Source organism: Homo sapiens, chromosome 4 (assembly GCF_000001405.40).
Source record: "Homo sapiens chromosome 4, GRCh38.p14 Primary Assembly".
Classification (NCBI taxonomy): Eukaryota; Metazoa; Chordata; class Mammalia; order Primates; family Hominidae; genus Homo; species Homo sapiens.
Genome location: NC_000004.12, coordinates 82,967,406 through 82,985,914, shown reverse-complemented (window position 1 = coordinate 82,985,914; position 18,509 = coordinate 82,967,406). Strand labels below are relative to the sequence as shown.

At 38.1% G+C, this 18,509-nt stretch overlaps 1 protein-coding gene across 10 annotated transcripts in view; it reads left to right on the top strand.

Moving 5' to 3' along the window:
- Positions 1–18,509, top strand: part of LIN54 (lin-54 DREAM MuvB core complex component) — an 88,339-nt gene that overhangs the window by 27,027 nt on the left and 42,803 nt on the right. For 3 of the 10 annotated variants that reach the window (NM_001115007.3, NM_001288997.1, NM_001115008.3), the window contains 3 exon segments: positions 1,039–1,091; positions 6,909–7,032; positions 15,446–15,588. In NM_001115007.3, the coding sequence (NP_001108479.1) occupies positions 1,071–1,091; positions 6,909–7,032; positions 15,446–15,588 (288 nt within the window). In that variant the 5' untranslated portion in view covers positions 1,039–1,070. 10 annotated transcript variants of the gene reach the window in all.

The following is an 18,509-nucleotide window of genomic DNA, read 5'->3' as shown; positions in this document are numbered from 1 at the left end:
TACTTTTTTTCTTCATGGGGATTGGCTGTACATCTCTTAAATGGTTCTTTTTGACACTTTAAATGGCGGAGGATGGCCAGGCACGGTGGCTCACGCCTGTAATCCCAGTACTTTGGGAGGCCGAGGCAGGTGGATCACCCGAGGTTAGGAGTTCGAGACCAGCCTGGCCAACATGGCAAAACCCTGTCTCTACTAAAAGTACAAAAATTAGCCCGGCTTGGTGGCAGGCGCCTGTAATTCCAGCTACTCAGGAGGCTGAGGCAGGAGAATTGCTTGAACCCAGGAAGCGGAGGTTGCAGTGAGCTGAGATTGTGCCACTGCACTTCAGCCTTGGCAACAGAGTGAGACTCCGTCTCAATAATTAATTAATTAAGTAAGTAAGTAAATGGCCAAGGAGGGTTTGAGAATCTTCTTTCCAAATAAAAATTTCCCTGGTATGAAGCTAGTTGGTCAAAGTTGTACCACAAATGCTATTTGATCTGCAATTGCTGAGATGTATTACTCTAGAAACTCCTTTAACTTTAATTTGGGTATTTAATGGATTTTTAAAATGGGATAGTACACTCATATTAGGACGTAGCTCATTGGAGATTTGAATGTATTTTACAATATGTTAATATTTAAATCTTTATTTCCTTGTGTGAATCAGCAGTTTTCAAGTCTGTCAATGAGAGGAAAAAAATCTGGGTAGAAATAAGATCAGATACATCAAAGATTACAAATTTTATTAGAGGGCGTTGGAAAGGAGTTTCATGTGATTATGTGACTTAGTGTTGCCTGAGTGCAAGATACTTGTGGATTGAGACGAGAGTAAGAATGTTTGCTTCTAGTTTTGTGTTCCCATATGACTTATATTATAGATTCTTGCAGGTTGAGGATGTGTTAACATGATTTAACCCAGATAAGCTTCAGGAATATTCTTCATTCAATTATATATCAATTTAAAAATTGTCATTTTGCCATTTGCATTTTTTTTGAATTTTTTTCTTACATCTTTTGAAACCTAGTAACTTGTTCATTTTTCAACTTTTATTACAGTGCCTGATCAACTTTCTAGCGGGAGAACGATCATGGAGGTGGTGCCAGCTGAGGTGAATAGTTTGCTTCCAGAGGAAATAATGGACACTGGTATAACTTTAGTGGATGATGATAGTATTGAGGCTGTTATTGTTTCATCCCCAATTCCCATGGAGACAGAACTGGAAGAAATTGTCAACATAAATTCTACTGGTGACTCTACAGCCACGCCCATTTCCACGGAACCAATCACAGTGTACAGTAACCACACTAACCAAGTTGCAGTGAATACCACAATTACTAAAGCAGATTCTAATACCACAGTGAAACCAGCTTTTCCAAGTGGCCTTCAAAAACTTGGTGCTCAGACTCCTGTGACTATATCAGCCAATCAGATTATTTTAAACAAAGTATCACAGACATCTGATCTTAAACTTGGCAATCAGACCCTTAAACCAGATGGACAGAAGTTAATTTTAACAACTTTGGGCAAGTCTGGTTCACCAATTGTTTTAGCACTACCCCATAGCCAACTACCCCAGGCTCAGAAAGTTACAACTCAGGCCCAGTCAGGAGATGCTAAGTTACCACCGCAGCAAATTAAAGTAGTTACCATTGGAGGGAGGCCAGAGGTGAAACCTGTCATTGGTGTCTCAGCATTGACCCCAGGAAGTCAACTGATTAATACTACAACTCAGCCCTCTGTGTTACAGACCCAACAGTTAAAAACAGTACAGGTAAAAGAAAAAAGGGGGCTTACTAATTAAAATGCATGTTTAAAAAAATTTAACTGATTCATAGTTGTGTTTATAGGGTTACTAAATACATAGTTGTTACTGAATTCTTTTGAATGTTGTTTTATGTAATTGTGTGTGTGTGTTTTTAAGTTTGATATGTCTAATGCTTATGAAAATTTTTACCAGATAACTTAGAAAGCAAACTTAATTTTGGTTAAATTCCAAATTAGTATATTTATAGCCTTTTACTAATTTTAAAATGCATTTTATTCTTAGTGGTAGTTTGATTACAAGGATGTTTTGCTGGTATAAATATGCCAGACTTGCTGCTGGGCTATCAAAAAAATCATGTAGACAACATTTTTTTTTTTCAGTTCACAGATGGCCAAAGGCTAGGAGAACTTTGTTGCTCTGAGAAACCCTCAGAGCCAGTAATAGTGCGTGTCAGCCAGCGTGTGCCTTTTATTTGGAGTTTACTGTTCATTGCCATTATTCATGTTTGTACTATGGAAAAGACAGTGACATGTGATGGAAGATAACATACAGGCTTTAGAGTTGTACCAACTGGGCTTGAGTTGCCTCTATCTTATCCTACCAGTTATGGAAAACTTTCGTAGGTTACTTATCTTCTCTGAGTTTTTGACTTTATCTTAAGAATACTTTTTGATCAAGATGAAATGTGTAGTATAATTCTCAAAATATTGAGGATGTTTCATAATGGTACCTATTATTAGTATGAATAGGACCCTAAGAAAGAAGGTTACTGGAATATATATTAAGTGATTTCCAGTTTATCATGCCCAAATAGGCTTTCTTAGGCCACCACTACTCTTGGAAATGCAGTGATCGGCGGGGCGTGGTGGCTTAAGCCTGTAATCCCACCCAGCACTTTGGCAGGCTGAGGTGGGCGGATCACCTGAGGTCAGGAGTTTGAGACTAGCCTGCCCAACATGGTGAAACCTCATCTCTACTAAAAATACAAAAAATTAGCCAGGCATGGTGGCGAGTGCCTATAATCCCAGCTACTCAGGAGGCTGAGACAGGAGAATCGGTTGAACCCGGGAGGCAGAGGTTGCAGTGAGCCGAGATCGCGCCATTGCACTCCAGCCTGGGTGACAAGAGCGAAACTCCATCTCAAAAAAAAAAAAAAAAACAAGAAATGCAGTGATATACTTATGACCAGGAAACAAAAATGTATCCTCTGTTTGAAAGAGTTGTCTTTGAATGCATAGAAATAATAGGAAATGCATAAGAAGGAAGTAGGAAGGTTTTGGGAGACTACACTCAGCTGATATTAGAGTAATGTTTTGGTTACTGTTTTGACAGTAGAATTAGAAACCACTTTTCATGGGCTTTGCATTTAAGAACTTTGTAGAATTTCTTAAATCTTATAATTTGCCTCTGTCCCCTTTGCCATTATTAAACATTTAGTGCTCTTTCTTGTTCATTATTACTTCTCACTTATCTATGACTTCCTTTTACTTCTTATTTTTGCCAAGAATCTCTTGGATGAGATATCTTATCACCATCAAGCATCTTGTCCTCAGTTTTGAAGCTTGTTTTTATTGGTTTACCAAAGTTTATTTGGCTTTGGCAATATGGATCATAATTATGTTCAAAAGAAACTGATGCCAGGTGTGGTGGCTCACGAACCTGTAAGCCCAACACTTTGGGAGGCCAAGGTGGGCAGATTCTGTGAGGCCAGGAGTTCGAGACCAGCCTGGGCAACATAGTGAAACCCTGTTTCTACCAAAAATACAAAAAATTAGCCCAGCATGGTGGCGCACACTTGCGGTCCCAGGTACTCAGGAGGCTGAGGTGAGAGGGTCGCTTGAGCCGGGGAGGTCTAGGCTGCTGTGAGCTGTGGTCGCATCACTGCACCTCAGCCTGGGCTACAGGAAAACCCTGTCTCAAAAAAATAAAAATAAACTAAAAAAGGAAAAGATATCATAAATTAGAATGTCATTTTTTTCATTTATGAGAGCAAGGTATATGTGACATTTCAATGACCAGTGTTGCTTGTATCTATTATTTCTCTACTTTAACTCCCTAAGTAATGACAATAAAAAAAAGACTGGGGTCTAATTCTTATAACTTGTTTTATTGTTACTTTTCTGTTTTGTTTTGTTTTGTTTTTGAGACAGGTCTCTCTGTCACCCAGTCTGGAGTGCAGTGGGTGCTCCACTGCAGCCTTGACCCCCCAAGCTCAAATGCTCCTCCCACGTCAGCCTCCCAAGTAGCTGGGACTACAGATGCAAACCACCACACCTGGCCAATTTTTGTATTTTTTTTGTAGAGATGGGGCTTTGCCATGTAGCCCAGGCTGGTCTCAAACTCCTGGACACAAGCAATCCACCTGCCTTGGCCTCTCAAAAGTGCTGGGATTACAAGCATAAGCCACTGCACCTGGGCTATTGTTAGTTTTCTAAAGCCTGTTTCTATCTAATAAAAAAGAATTCTATTAAAAAAAACAATAAAAAGGAATTAGATTTAGAATTTTTTTTACTTGTACAATCCATTATTTTTAGGCGACTTAAGTCTTTCCATCTCAGAAGTAACCTCAAAGCTCTGAAGCACAAAAGACAAATTAAAAACTATGCATCTATATTTTTTCCTTTTTTGACACCAGAATATTTGGTTTAGTATTACAAAGAGTATATGATTTTCTGGTTTTTTTCCCCCTAGGTAGTTGTCAGTGTTAAGTTTAGTCAGAGTATTGAGACTGTTAGGGTATAGATAGCAGGCAACGGTGGAAGATGGAGGCCATCTTGAAAAATGAAGAAAAGAGGTGACCTTTGAAGCCAGAGGCAGTAACAGAGGTATAATTATATGTAATAACAGATATATAAACACTTTCCCATGTTTCCTGTGCATAGTATATAAGAGTAGTACATAACTAGCAGTCTGGAACAATATAACTCCTTACTAGCTCCTGAATCTATCCAACACAGTGCCAAAAATTACTTGTATATATTATTTGATGACATATTTTACTACCTTATTTGTAAGTTTTTTTTCATGTTTATCTTAAGCTGCTGATTCTATAAACTTGTTAAAGTAATCTTTGATGCTTTGTTTTACTTAATAATTTTGTTCCAGGATACTTTAGAATTCATAGTGCAAAAAAATCATAGTTCCTTAATGGAACCAAAAGTTATTATTTTCAGCACCACTAAAGAAACATAACCACAAGGGCAAGATGAGATTGTTTATTTGAATAATTAATGTGCTTCTGGTTGTACTGTTTATATTTTTTTCTTACTGATAAGTATTCATATACTCATGATTGTGAAAAATCAGTTTAAAATGGGGAAATACTTTAAGCCCATAATTGTTATAGCTAAGGTTATTTATTGCTAATATGGCTTTCTAAGAATATTAATACTTCTACCTCTAGAGATTGTTAATATTATAGATACAATAGATACAATTTTGACTGACTTTAGGGTTTTAAGTCTGTAAACATACTTGAGAAATTTGTATTTCTCTAAATTTCATTAGCTTTCTAGAGTATAATTATAGATTTATTTGAGTATGTTATAGTTTTGCAAGTCGGCCGTTTTTAAATACAATAATGGGTATGTTTTTTTTTAAGTGATTTGTATTTTATATACAGTTGGTTTTTGTCAGTAATGTGCTCTGAGTATAAAAAAGTAATATATTGTAGGTGTAAGATGTGTTATTTAGTTTAATTTATAATTTGAGCACAAAGAGCTAATATTTGTCTAGTTCTGTGATCTATCATAACTTCCGGTGTATTTCTGTTATTCATGTTGGTCATATTTTTTCATTTGAGTCACTATTTCCTATAATAAATAGTTCTTTTACAGTCTCAATTTTCATTGCCAAAAGATATAATTAATATTTAATGTTCTTCACACTCTAAAATTCTTTGATTTTTATCCCAGGTAAATTTCTTCTTTTAACTTTTAGAAGAAGCTGTGTCTTTGTATATGGTGATAATCGCAATATAAAAAATTGGTAACTCTACACTCCTTGACTTGTGGAGAATTATAATTCAGGTCAACAGTGTGCCAATATGTAACTTCAAATTGGAGATGAATTAAATATAGTTTCTCTCTTCAAGGAATTTAAAATATAATAAACAGTTGCTGTAGCCCAGGAGTTTGAGGCTGCAGTGAACTATGAGTGCACCACTGCACTCCAGTCTGGGTGACGAGATGAGACCCAGTATTTTTTTTTTTTTTTTTTTTTTTTTTTGAGACAGAGTCTCACTCACTCTGTCACCCAGGCTGGAGTGCAGTGGTGCAATCTCGACTCCCTGCAACCTCTGCTCCCGGGTTCAAGCAATTCTCCTGCCTCAGCCTCCCGAGTAGCTAAGATTATAGGTGTGCGCCACCACACCCTGCTTATTTTTGTATTTTTGTAGAGACAGGGTTTCACCATGTTGGCCAGGCTGGTCTTGAACTCCTGACCTCAAGTGTCTGCCTGCTTCAGCCTCCCAGAGTGCTGGGATTACAGGCGTGAGCCACTGCGCCTGGCCAGGACCCCATCTTTAAAAGAAGAAAAGTGTAGTACATAATAGTTTAGTAAATAATATTTCAGAGCTGTTGCCCTTATAATAGTTTCTGTTCTACCAAATTTTTCTCTTTTGTACCCTAGGGCTTTAACTTATTTAGTTCTCCCTTAATCTACTCCTGATATTTAGATCTAAAGTTGAAAATCTAGTCATAAGCCTACCTTTAATGTGTATTTATTTATATTTTGCATCCAAGGGCCAATGTAATTGTGTATATAGGTGGCTTTGTCATTCGCACTATACTTTCTTTACTTACTCTTTTTATTATTGAGTAATTTGTTATTTTGAACAAGAATATTACTGTGCCACAGTTTTATTTTTTCATTAAGCATTATTATTAATTTTGTTTTCATCATATGCATATATCCAAGACATGAAAATAAGGAATTGTAATAAAATGCAAAGGTATTATTATATATGGGATTAAGGATATAATAATATTAATATTTTGATGAATGTCTGCATTTTAAATGTTCTTAACATTAACACACAGATATATTCTGTTAAGTGAGCTGGTTTTACATGTGCTACTTTGTGTGAATCTTTGGTATAATTTTGATTTAATAGGCATTTTATAGAAACAGATGGTCTTCATAGTTATTTATATGTTTCAGATTGCTAAGAAGCCTCGAACGCCAACCTCTGGTCCAGTAATCACGAAGCTGATCTTTGCAAAACCAATTAATAGTAAAGCAGTTACAGGACAGACAACTCAAGTTTCACCACCAGTTATTGCAGGTTATATTTCTTTATAGTTTATTAAGCTAAATATTTATCTTCCTTTTAGATTTAAAAAGGCTGTTCTGCCAACTTAAAATGTTTTAGTGTAACAAATATAGCTTATTATTATAAACCAGACTAGTTAATAAGAAGTGTTTGCTTCAAGCAAAATGCCTCATCTGAAAATCAGTTCATTACTTTAGTCTCCTTAGTTTTTGGTAGAAATTTACCATGATACTAGCAAAGTCTCAAACTCCAGTAATAGTAGCTAATATTTATACAGTGTTCACTGTGTGCTAGGCACCATTCTTAGCCCTTTACATATAGTGACTATATCATTCCCCAGCAATCCTATGAGGTAGGTACTAATAACATTCCCGTTTTGCCAGTGTGGAAGTGGAGGCATTCAGCTAGTAAATGGCTGAGCTGGAATTTGAACCCAGGCAATTTGTTTCTGGAGCACATGTGCTAACTTTAATAAATTTAAATTAATATTCACAAGAGTATAGTATTTCATGGTTTCTGTTTGAATTTTTGGTTTCAGTATTTTAATATACTCTATATGGAGTTCTCTGTAAACAGAAAATTGTCACAATAATAGTAATTACTTAAGTGGTAACAGAATTTTAGCTGAATTACTTTTACTAGAATACTCCTTAGTGTGGCCCAGTTCTCTTTTATACTTTAAAATTTGTCATCACCAATCACTATATCACCTCAGAAATCTTGACTTCAAGTGTTCGTTCTCTTTATTCTTTTAGTTTACTTGCCTTTCTACTCCCAATCCAGCAATTGACTTTGAATTTCTGGTCCATTGATTCTTCCACTTTCTCAGTAATCATTCCTTTCCTGTCCTCAAATTCTTCCTTCCTCAAGATGAAGTCCATGACCCATCCTATTGCTCTCTTGTAAACGCCATTGATTGTCTTTTTCCAGTCTCTTTCTCTAATGGCTTGGCTAAGTCCAACCCTCCTATTCCTTGTTTGGCTAGCAGCTCAAGTTTTTTAGAGAAAAGCACACAGCCAAGTGATTGGTCTTTAATCCAGAGCCATACTAAATGACTCTTTCACTAGTTATAGGATCATTTCTAATTTCTACTGTGCTAAAGGCTTATATGAAAGCACCTCTGGATGGTAAACTTTTGACTAGAGACTTTCAAATCCTAATTACCCATCCCTAGACTGTGTATTCTTGATGAGGGTACTCAAATATTAACTGATCATTCCTAGCATGTATATTAAAACCATCTGTCTTTAATAAATTTACAACATAGCGGTAGGCAACTTGGAAATCAGTGGCAGTGACTTGTCATTTTCCTGAGGCTTTGATTTGTATGTAGGCTTGATTTGTATTTGTATGTAGAGAGGCTTCTCATTTTAGCTAATGAGAAGAGATGGAAAAATTTAATGTGAAAGCAGTGTTAGGTGAGTGACTATTCTCTTTCTCTTGGTGCTCAGTAGAGATTTGTGACAGTATAGGAAGCTGATGTCTTGAGAGATGTCATGGGAGGCAGGGGGGCCCCAAAGAAAATACTGGAAAGGGTTTGGGTTTGGAGCTGATTTAGGAAGTGGGCTGCAGTTGGCTATAAGTAAACAAGGCTTGGAAGTATTTATGAAAAAGAAAACACCAGTCCCCTTGGAGATTTTTGTATAGGTAGAGGGGCTTAACCAGGAGTGTTTTAATGGGATGTTCTTTACTGTTTTGAGTCTCTGAAGAGACTCTGAGAGAGTCCCTGAAAAGTTTTAGTTAATGGGAAGGAGAAGGTATGGGTTGTATGGTAAACAATTGTGGTGTTCGCGGAAGTGTCTGAATGAATTTTTGGTTATTGTCAAGAGTTCACCGTGACTATCATAGACTTTTATAAATGTCATTGCTTGGTCTTTGGGTTGTTTATGTGTTGCAGACCGATTGTAACTTTATTTTTTAATTGTGCATGGACTTAATAGCCCTACCAGAATACATAGAGATATACTTCTGTTAAATTTTACTAGCATTGTTGGCATTAAGTTCAGTTTGGAGGGATAATTTCTACTTTTAACTAGTTCTTTATAACCTTTAAAAATTCACATATGCTAAATTTTAAACCACCAAAGTGCCTTTCTGTTGAATTGTATCACAAGGAGATTCCATCATCTTTATGTATACATTGCAGCTAAGACTGCAGTCTTTTTCCATGCAGCTAGTCTTTTTTTTAAGACGGAGTCTCGCCCTGTCACCGAGGCTGGAGTGCAGTGGTGCTATCTTGGCTCACTGCAACCTCCGCCTCCTGGGTTCAAGCGATTCTCCTGCCTCAGCCTCCCGAGTAGCTGGGATTACAGGCGCCCACCACCACAACCAGCTAATTTTTGTATTTTTAGTAGAGACGGGGTTTCACCATGTTGGCCAGGCTGGTCTCGAACTCCTGACCTTGTGATCCACCTGTCTTGGCCTCCCAAAGTGCTGGGACTACAGGCATGAGCCACTGCGCCCTGCTAGCTAATGCTCTTTCAAAGTACCTTGAGATTTTTTTTTTTTTTTTGATGATTTTTGGGCTTCTCATTGAAGATGACTATCTTTTTCTATGTTTCAGTCAAGATGATTTTATATTTGTGTATAAGCGATTTTTCTAAAATGCAAATCTGAACTTGTCATACCCTTGCTTAAAATTTTCTTGGCCTTGTTCATTTCTTCACCTGGACCCATCAGGATTAAGTTCAAATGCCAGTGCTTTCTTAGCATTAAAGGCATTTAGGATCTAATGCATGCCTTTTGATTTTCACCTTCAAAATAGTAGCTCCAAACCTACTGATTTAACTTATTGTAAGAGATCACCATATGGATCTAAACTAAGTTGTAGGACTAAGGGTCTTGGCAAGGTTCCTTTTACATGGAATGCCTTTCTTTGCCGTTCCTTGCGGCTGACTCATCCATTTTATCTCTTAGATTACCCATCTTGGAAGTTTTTGACTTCTAGGTTTAATCAGATACTCTTTCTCTGATCATTTCCTATTTATTTCCATAAAACTTGGTTATACTTACCAAGTACTTATCTTAAACTTCTGTTAAATTTCACACTGGCTTTGAGTTATCCATTAGTCATACTGTATTATAAATCTTGGTTTTCTTGTCTGTCTCCCCATACCCCTTATGATTTTTCATGATGGTAGTTTTTTTTGTTTTTTTGTTCATCTAGCTCTCTTTTTTTTTTTAGATGGAGTTTTCGCTCTTTTTGCCCAGGCTGGAGTGCAATGGCGCGATCTCGGCTCACTGCAACATCCGCCTCCTGGGTTCAAGTGATTCTCCTGTCTCAGCCTCCTGAATAGCTGGGATTACAGGTGCCTGCCACTATGCCCGGCTAATTTTTTGTATTTTTAGTGGAGACGGGGTTTCACCATGTTGGCCAGGCTGGTCTCGAACTCCTAACCTCAGCTAATCCGCCCACCTCAGCCTCCCAAAGTGCTAGGATTACAGGCATGAGCCACCGCGCCTGGCCTCATCATGTAGTTCTTTTAAAAAACTTATTTTTAAAAAATTGTGGTAAGATATACATAACACAAAATTTACCATCTTAACTTTTTTTTTTTTTGAGATGCAGTTTCACTCTGTCACCCAGGCTGGAGTGCAGTGGCGTGATCTCAACTCACTAAGTGATTCTCCTGCCTCAGCTTCCCAAGGAGCTGAGACTACAGGCACACTCCACCACATCCGGCTAATTTTTGTATTTTTAGTAGAGAAGGGGTTTCACCATTTTGGCCAGGCTGGTCTTGAACTTATGACCTCAAGTGATCCACCTGCCTCAGCCTTCCAAAGTGCTGGGATTACAGATGTGAGCCACTGCACCCAGCCTCATGTTAACTGTTTTAAGTGTATAGTTCATTGGCATTAAGTACATTCACATTGTTATACAACCATCACCACCATCCCGTCTCTAAAACTTTTTCTTTTTGCAAAACTGAAATCTTGTGCCCATTAAACAAAAACTCCTTATTCTTCCTTCCCCAATCCAGCTTCCGGCAGCCACCATCCCACTTTTGTATCTACGTTTTTGCTTTTTTTTTTTTTTGAGACAGTCTGTCACTCTGTCACTCAGGCTGGAGTGCAGTGGTGTGATCTTGGCTCACTGCAACCTGTGCCTCCCGGGTTCAAGTGATCCTCCTGCCTCAACCTCCCAAGTAGCTGGGATTTAAGATGGAGTCTCAGTCTGTCGCCCAGGTTGGAATGCAGTGGTGCGATCGTGGCTCACTGCAACCTCTGCCTTCTGGGTTCAAGTGATTCTCTTGCTTCAGCCTCCCAAGTAGCTGGGATTACAGGTGTGTGCCATCACGCCCGGCTAATTTTTGTATTTTTAGTAGAGATGGTGTTTCACCACGTTGGCCAGGCTGGTCTCGGACTCCTGACCTCAGGTGATCTGCCCACCTCGGCCTCCCAAAGTGCTGGGATTACAGGTGTGAGCCACCACGCCCAGCCATTGCCCTTTTTTTTTGATTGGCTTATTTCACTTAGCATAATGTCCTTAAGGTGCATTTGTGTTGTAGTATATATCAGAATTTTCTTTTTAAGGCAGAATTATGTTCCAATGTATTTATGTATGTACTGTATTGATGGTTCTTTTATCTTGTTTCTCTCACTCTTTCTCTTTCTCCTCTGTCCCCACCTTCCCAGAACCTAGCACAATTTTTGGCACCTTTTTTTTTTGGTTTGTTTGTTTTTTTGAGAGGGAGTTTTGCTCTGTCACCCAGGCTGGAGTGCAGTGGTGCGATCTCGGCTCACTGCAAGCTCCGCCTCCTGGGTTCACGCCATTCTCTTGCCTCAGCCTCCCAAGTAGCTGGGACTACAGGTGCCTGCCACCACACCCAGCTAATTTTTTGTATTTTTAGTAGAGATGGGGTTTCACCGTGTTAGCCAGGATGGTCCCAATCTCCTGACCTCGTGATCCACCCTCCTTGTCCTCCCAAAGTGCTGGGATTACAGGCATGAGCCACTGTGCCCTGCTCCTATTTTTGGCACTTTGATGTAGTTCTGTGAATGCATATTGTTGCATGAATATGTATATCATGGAGGCACTATAGTGATACAGTAGGAGCTATTGGGAAACTTGGGTTTTCAGTCATGGGTCTTCTGTTGATTTTCTCTATGATCTTCGGTAAATACATTATTTTGTTCATCTTAGTTTAGTAAAATGTAGATACCAGCCACCTGACAAGACTTGAAATGGTTACATGAGATAATAGAGGTTCTCATTATCACACCTCTCAAGGTAGAAGGTTGCTTCATGGGAGCAAGCTTCATCACAATGTAAAATTAATCTCTTAAAGAATTTGGCCTTACTCAAATATTCTAGCTTCCTGCCCCAGCCTATTCAATATGTGGCTTTATGGAGTGTGTCTCTTTTGATTCTTGGAGAATACCTGACAACAGAAATTAATTTCAAGGTCAAATTATGTAACTTGCATGCTTGCTTGAATCAGTGGAACTAAGGATAAATAGGGATTTGGAGGTTAGATTAGATAATCAGAAATGCTACCAGGATGAAAACCAAGCAGACCCTCAAAAAGAATAACTTGAATTTCAAAGGATATCAAGGTTCTTGGGAAAATTGATGAAATCTAGAAATATTTTGGTAGAAATGACCTGCTTTATGAGTATGTTGTGCCCATTTATCATTATCGACATAATTTATCATTTTGCTGTCGTCCAAATTTTCAGAAGCAATCTCTCTCCCCAAAACTCAACAGCTGATTTTTTTCTTTGTTCATCTTAAGAGTTAGTATAGTTGCAATTATAAACTGAATTTTTAAAAAACGTAGGCCACAGAAAGATAGTAAAAGTTTTATTACTTTTAGTTTTGTAATTTATAATGAAACTTTTGTTCCTGTTTTAAGTGAATTAACATCAAGTTGCCTTTTTCTGATACCAGTTATCCTCAGGAATTGCGGATTTTCTGTATGAATTTTTTTTTTTTTTTTTTTTTTTAGAGGGATTCTTGCTCTTGTTGCCCAGGCTGGAGTGCAATGGCGCAATCTCAGCTCACTGCAACCTCTGCCTCCCGAGTAGCTGGGATTATAGACGCACGCTACCACGCCTGGCTAATTTTTGTAGTTTTAGTAGAGACGGGGTTTCACCATGTTGGCCAGGCTGGTCTCGAATTCCTGACCTCGTGATCCACCTGCCTCGGCCTCCCAAAGTGCTGGGATTACAGGCGTGAGCCACTGTGTCCAGCTCTATATGAATATTATTTGAAAGATATGTAATTCCTAACACATGAAATTATAGCAGTGGCTATAAATAATGAACATTTTATGAAACTGTGTCTTTACTGGTAATTTCTTTTCTTAACAGAATGGTTATTGGGGCTTCATACTTATCTCACAGGTATTAGCTTTGGAAACCAGAATAGACAAACATGTTACTTTAGGCAGGCTGAATACTTTAGGGCGGCTCTCTAAACCTATTTGATGTAGATTCGTTTGGTTTATTTAGAATTGACTTTATGTAATTATGATGTATTCAGGTTTTTAAAAAACCTGGCAGAATGTCATTAAAATTAATCTATGTACTACAAAGAAATTTTGAAAATTGTATTGAAAATACTTTAAAAATTCATAGATGGGGATAAAACTTGATTCACTTTTTAAAAAAGAAACTGTGCCAGCCTGGGCAACATGACAAAACTCCATTGTCTAAAAAAAATAAAAAAAAAATAGCTAAGCATGGTGGCACGTGCCTGTGGTCCCAGCTACTCAGGAGGCTGAGATGGGAGGATCATTTGAGCCCAGAAGTTCAAGGCTGCAGTGAGCTATGATCACGCCACTGCATTCTAGCCTGGGTGACTGAGGGAGACCCCTGTCTCAAAACAAAACAAAACAAAAGGCATACTTTGGCATTGTTGTCAGGAAAAATGGCCCAGAAGCTGCTAAGCATTAGTTCTTTATTTTTGTCTAAAGTGAAAGTCCCTTCTTTCTCTCTTTCCCTTTCTCCTCACTGTCATGCTCTCTCCTTCATCTCTAGCTGGATCTATGAGTTTAATCATAGTATCTAAAGGTTAGAGCAGATTCTAGAGATAATTTAGTTATCAATCTTCTCTACTTCTTAGATGCTTGACTTTCCTCTTTAGCCGGTATATTTGATTATCCAGCATCTGCCTGGGACACCTTTAGTGACTAGAAACTCACTTGTGTTGAAATAGTCATTTCAGTTGGAAATTTTTGTTAGAAGTTCTTTCTTAGTGCTGAGCTGAAATATTTTCTGTTTCTCTGCATTTGATGTGATACAGATTGGTTCTAATCCTTTAACCTGACAGCCTGGATCAGTTAGGATAATCTTGGTTTTTCTGCCAAAATAATCTCCAAACCTCAGAAGGGTAAAAAACCTGTTTTTTTTTTTTAAATTCAATTTAAAAAAAATTTAAAAATTGATTATCTATATGACCATTGTGGGTTCAAAAAGGTATCTTCTCTTCATAGCAACTCAGGGACACAGGCTAACCAAGGAGCCGCCATCTCAGATGGCAGAGGAAAATAAACTTTGGAAGGTCTTGCATAGGCAGTAATAAATGCTGTGGCCCAAGAATGACACACGTCACTTCTACTCATAACTCGTCTGCCAGGAGTAGTGACATGACTCTAACTTAACTACAAGATGGGGTGGGAGTGGTAGGAAGTGCAAGTGTAGTTCTACCATGTGTCCAGAATGGAAGAAAGCTAGAATACTTGGTGAATGGGAATAATGGCTATCACACAGTCTTCAAGAATTTGAAGATCTGTTATGTCTTTGTAGTCTTTTCTTACCTAGGATAAAAATTCCTGATATTTCAACTCAATGTAATATGGTTTTCAGTTCCCCAAGCATCCAGACACTAGAGTTTTTCATGGTTGTTCCTGAAGGGTCTTGTCCAGAAGGGAACACAATATGGAATCTGGCCGGGGTGGGTAGAAAAAACATTTTTTTATCCCCTTTGGCAGTCTAAAATCAGGTAGTATTAAACCTTTCAGTGTTTAAGTTAGTCCAATAACTATCTGTTTTATAAGTGTGGATTTCAATTGTACCTTCATGGTTTAAGTTCATATGGGAAGACAGCTATAGATAGTAGAATACAGAGATTGAAGTTTTAAGACTTGGGTTCATGTTCTGACTTTCAGGAGCTGTGTTACACAGGGCACATTACTTAGTTGCCCTGAGCTTTCTCTCTGATGGATATAACAACAGTATTGATGAACACATGAACTAAACTGTTTTTGTAGAGTTTAATGTAAGCTGATATTAAGTATTACTAAGAAGTAGTGTTTTGTTTAGTTCTGCCTAGGTTTACCATAGTTCATTAGTGCCTCATTAAGTGTTGACATGAAATAACAAACATACATTCTGCAGTCCTTGTGAGTGTAGAGCATCATCACATAAATTTTTATACTATTATTGAAAAAAGTCAAACTGATGTGCTGCCTCTCATTTGCAGGTAGGGTTCTTTCACAGTCTACTCCCGGAACTCCATCAAAGACCATAACAATATCTGAAAGTGGTGTTATTGGATCAACTTTAAATTCTACAACACAGACACCAAATAAAATAGCCATCTCACCTTTGAAATCGCCAAATAAGGTAAAAAAATAAATTAGCCACAAATACCAAATATTGTGGTTGATGCCTTTATTTTCTTACTAGTCACTTCAGATACTTCAATTTTAGTACATTCCCAAGCAAGTAATAGACATTCAATGAATACTGGATTAATTTAGTAATCAAGGATGTCTGACAGATTAAAAAGCTTACTTTAAACACATAGTAACATAGTAATCATTTTGCATGTGAATATGATTTCCATAGCCCATATGAATGTGGGTACAACAAAATCTTGAATAAATTCAATAATGTAGGTGTTTAGTTCTTCTTTAGTTAATATTTTAGCAAAATTATTGTATTTGTGGAAGGTACATATAGACTTATGATATAAAATATTAAATGTAACTTTAAAAAATGGAGATCTGAACTTTTGCTTGGTAACAGGACCCAGAGTAGTAGAAATTGCCATCAGATGCTGGTAGCCATATTATCAGTGTTGTTTAAGCTTGAATACATTTTATTGGAAGCATTCAAATGCTTTCTTATTTTATTGTGAGGCAAAGTAAGTCATCTAACTCACTTTCCTAAAACATACAGTTGTTATTATACCAGCATAACATTTTGAAAAAGATATGTTTTAAAGGACATATTATTCAGATAGAAAGCCAAGCATTATTATTTTGTTAGGTTTCACGCTTGTGACTCTGGAAACAATACTGCCCTTTGCACCTGCTTTCTTTGATTTGTTACTGTTCATAAATAGAACAAACGTTAAACATTTGCCTTACATTTTTTAAAGTCCAGGTGTTGGTTTCTTTAATGAGCCTTGACTATAATGTACAAATATGTTATCTCATACAGTTTATTAAGGTCAAATTCTACCTGCATAACTTTTTCCCTAAATTGAATGAATTTGGCAGAAATTTGAGGGTAACTGTGCCATGCATAGTGATAGGCACTGAGGATAAAACATGAATAAGATAAGGTATTTCATTTCAAGGAATTCAATAAGGTAGTTAGACTGAAACATTAAAAATTGTCCTACAGAATTACAATGGTCATAGATGGATTAATGACTGCTGTGTGTTTGGCAGGGAAGGTTTATACAAAGGAGCTTATTCTTGAAAGGTCTTAACCTTAAACGTGGGTTGGACTTAGCTCCAGATGAGCAGAAGGGGATTTCTGGATTGAGGTGATACTTTACATAAAGGTGTAAAAGTGTGGTCTTTCAGGAAGCCTCACTGATTTTTGCAGTGTGAGAGCCGAGGGTGCTAAGGTTAGATGGACGGTTTCTTTATCTTCAGGGGAGTTTGGACTTCTGTGGCTTCTCATTGCTTCTAGGACAGTGATTCTCGCCCTTATCTGCTTATTGGGATCACCTGGAGAGTTTTAATAAATACCGACGCCTAGTTCTCATCCCCAGAGATTCTGTTTTCATCTCTCCAGACTTGACCTGGTATCAGGATTTTACAAAGCTCTTTAAGTGATTCTAGTGGGTAGCCTAGATTGGGAACCACTGCTATAAATAATATGAAATTTGCATTTTTAAAAATACGAATCTTGTGGCATTATGAGAGATAGTTTGGGGGAAGGTGAGCCTGTATTGTGGGAGAGACCAGTTAGGTTAGTGATTCTCAACCTTGGCTGCAGTTAGTACTGGGGACCTCTTGAGAAAACTAATGGCAGGCCCCTACCTGACCCCATTTAAATCAGAATCTCTAGGCTGCGGCCTGTGTGTTAAATTTAATCTTTTAAAAGTGTAGGCCAGGGTAGAGAATCACTAAGAGATTATTGCAGTACTTCATGTTTGAACTACACTAGTAGCTCAGGGGCTAAAGAGGAAGAGAGATGTGTTGAAAGAGGTTCAGTATCTTAGGGGGAGAATCTAGGATGACTCCTGTATTTCTGACTTAGATAACGGGGTAGATGGTAGCCCTATGGACTAATTTGACTGGTATATGGTTTATACCTGATGACATACGAATAGGAACTGGCTTTATTTTTTTCCCATCCTTGACTTTAGCCCTGCCATATTGGATCTTCCTTTCTTGACTCTTGGCAAGATTTTACACTTAACTATAAGAACAAGCTTGTTTTAGTCTGAGACCAGCCTGACCAACATGGAGAAACCCTGTCTCTACAAAAAAAATACAAAATTAGCTGGGCTTGGTGGCACATGCCTGTAATCCCAGCTACTCGGGAGGCTGAGGCAGGAGAATTGCTTGAACCCAGGAGGTAGAGGTCGCGGTGAGCTGAGATCCTGCCATTGCATTCCAGCCTGGGCAACAAAAGCGAAACTCTTGTCTCCAGAAAAAAAAAAAACAAAAAACAAAAACAAGCTTGTTTTGGTTATTAAAATTCACAGGTGTGAAATGTACAGTCAAAAGCTTACATCCGGTTGAAAGCTTATCTATCGTTCAGGTGAGATCTAACCATGGCTCAGGGATTCGCGGTGGAGAAGAGGAGCATGATCTGTTTCGTCACTCTTCAACCTCCTCTCCCTTTCTGATTTTGTCTTCTGATCAGAAGGAAGATTAAAGGAGAAAGGACAAGGTTTTGTTTGACTGAGACTATTGTAATCCAGCTTCTGGTGCCCTCTGTGTGACAGGTGTCCAAATGTGGACTTAATGGAGATATTCACTCAGGATGGTTTTTTTGGAGCCCTTCCTGTGGGTTATTGCCACATTGCCAAGTTCCCTGTCAGGGATATGGTGTACTCTCCAGCTGCCTTTTGCAGCCTCCCTTTAGCTCTTCATTCCTGTAGTCTACGTCTGGCACTCCTGAGTACCTTTACTCCAGAAGGTACATGGCTTTGGCAGGGTCCCATCAAGATGTCTTAGCCCTTCTGCAGCATCTACATGGCCAGTGGGAAACTTCTAGAACCCAGTGGTAAAAGTGCAGCTTGCCTAACTGCTGTCCTCTAAATCTTTGCCCTACCATTGTGACAGCTGCAGCCATCT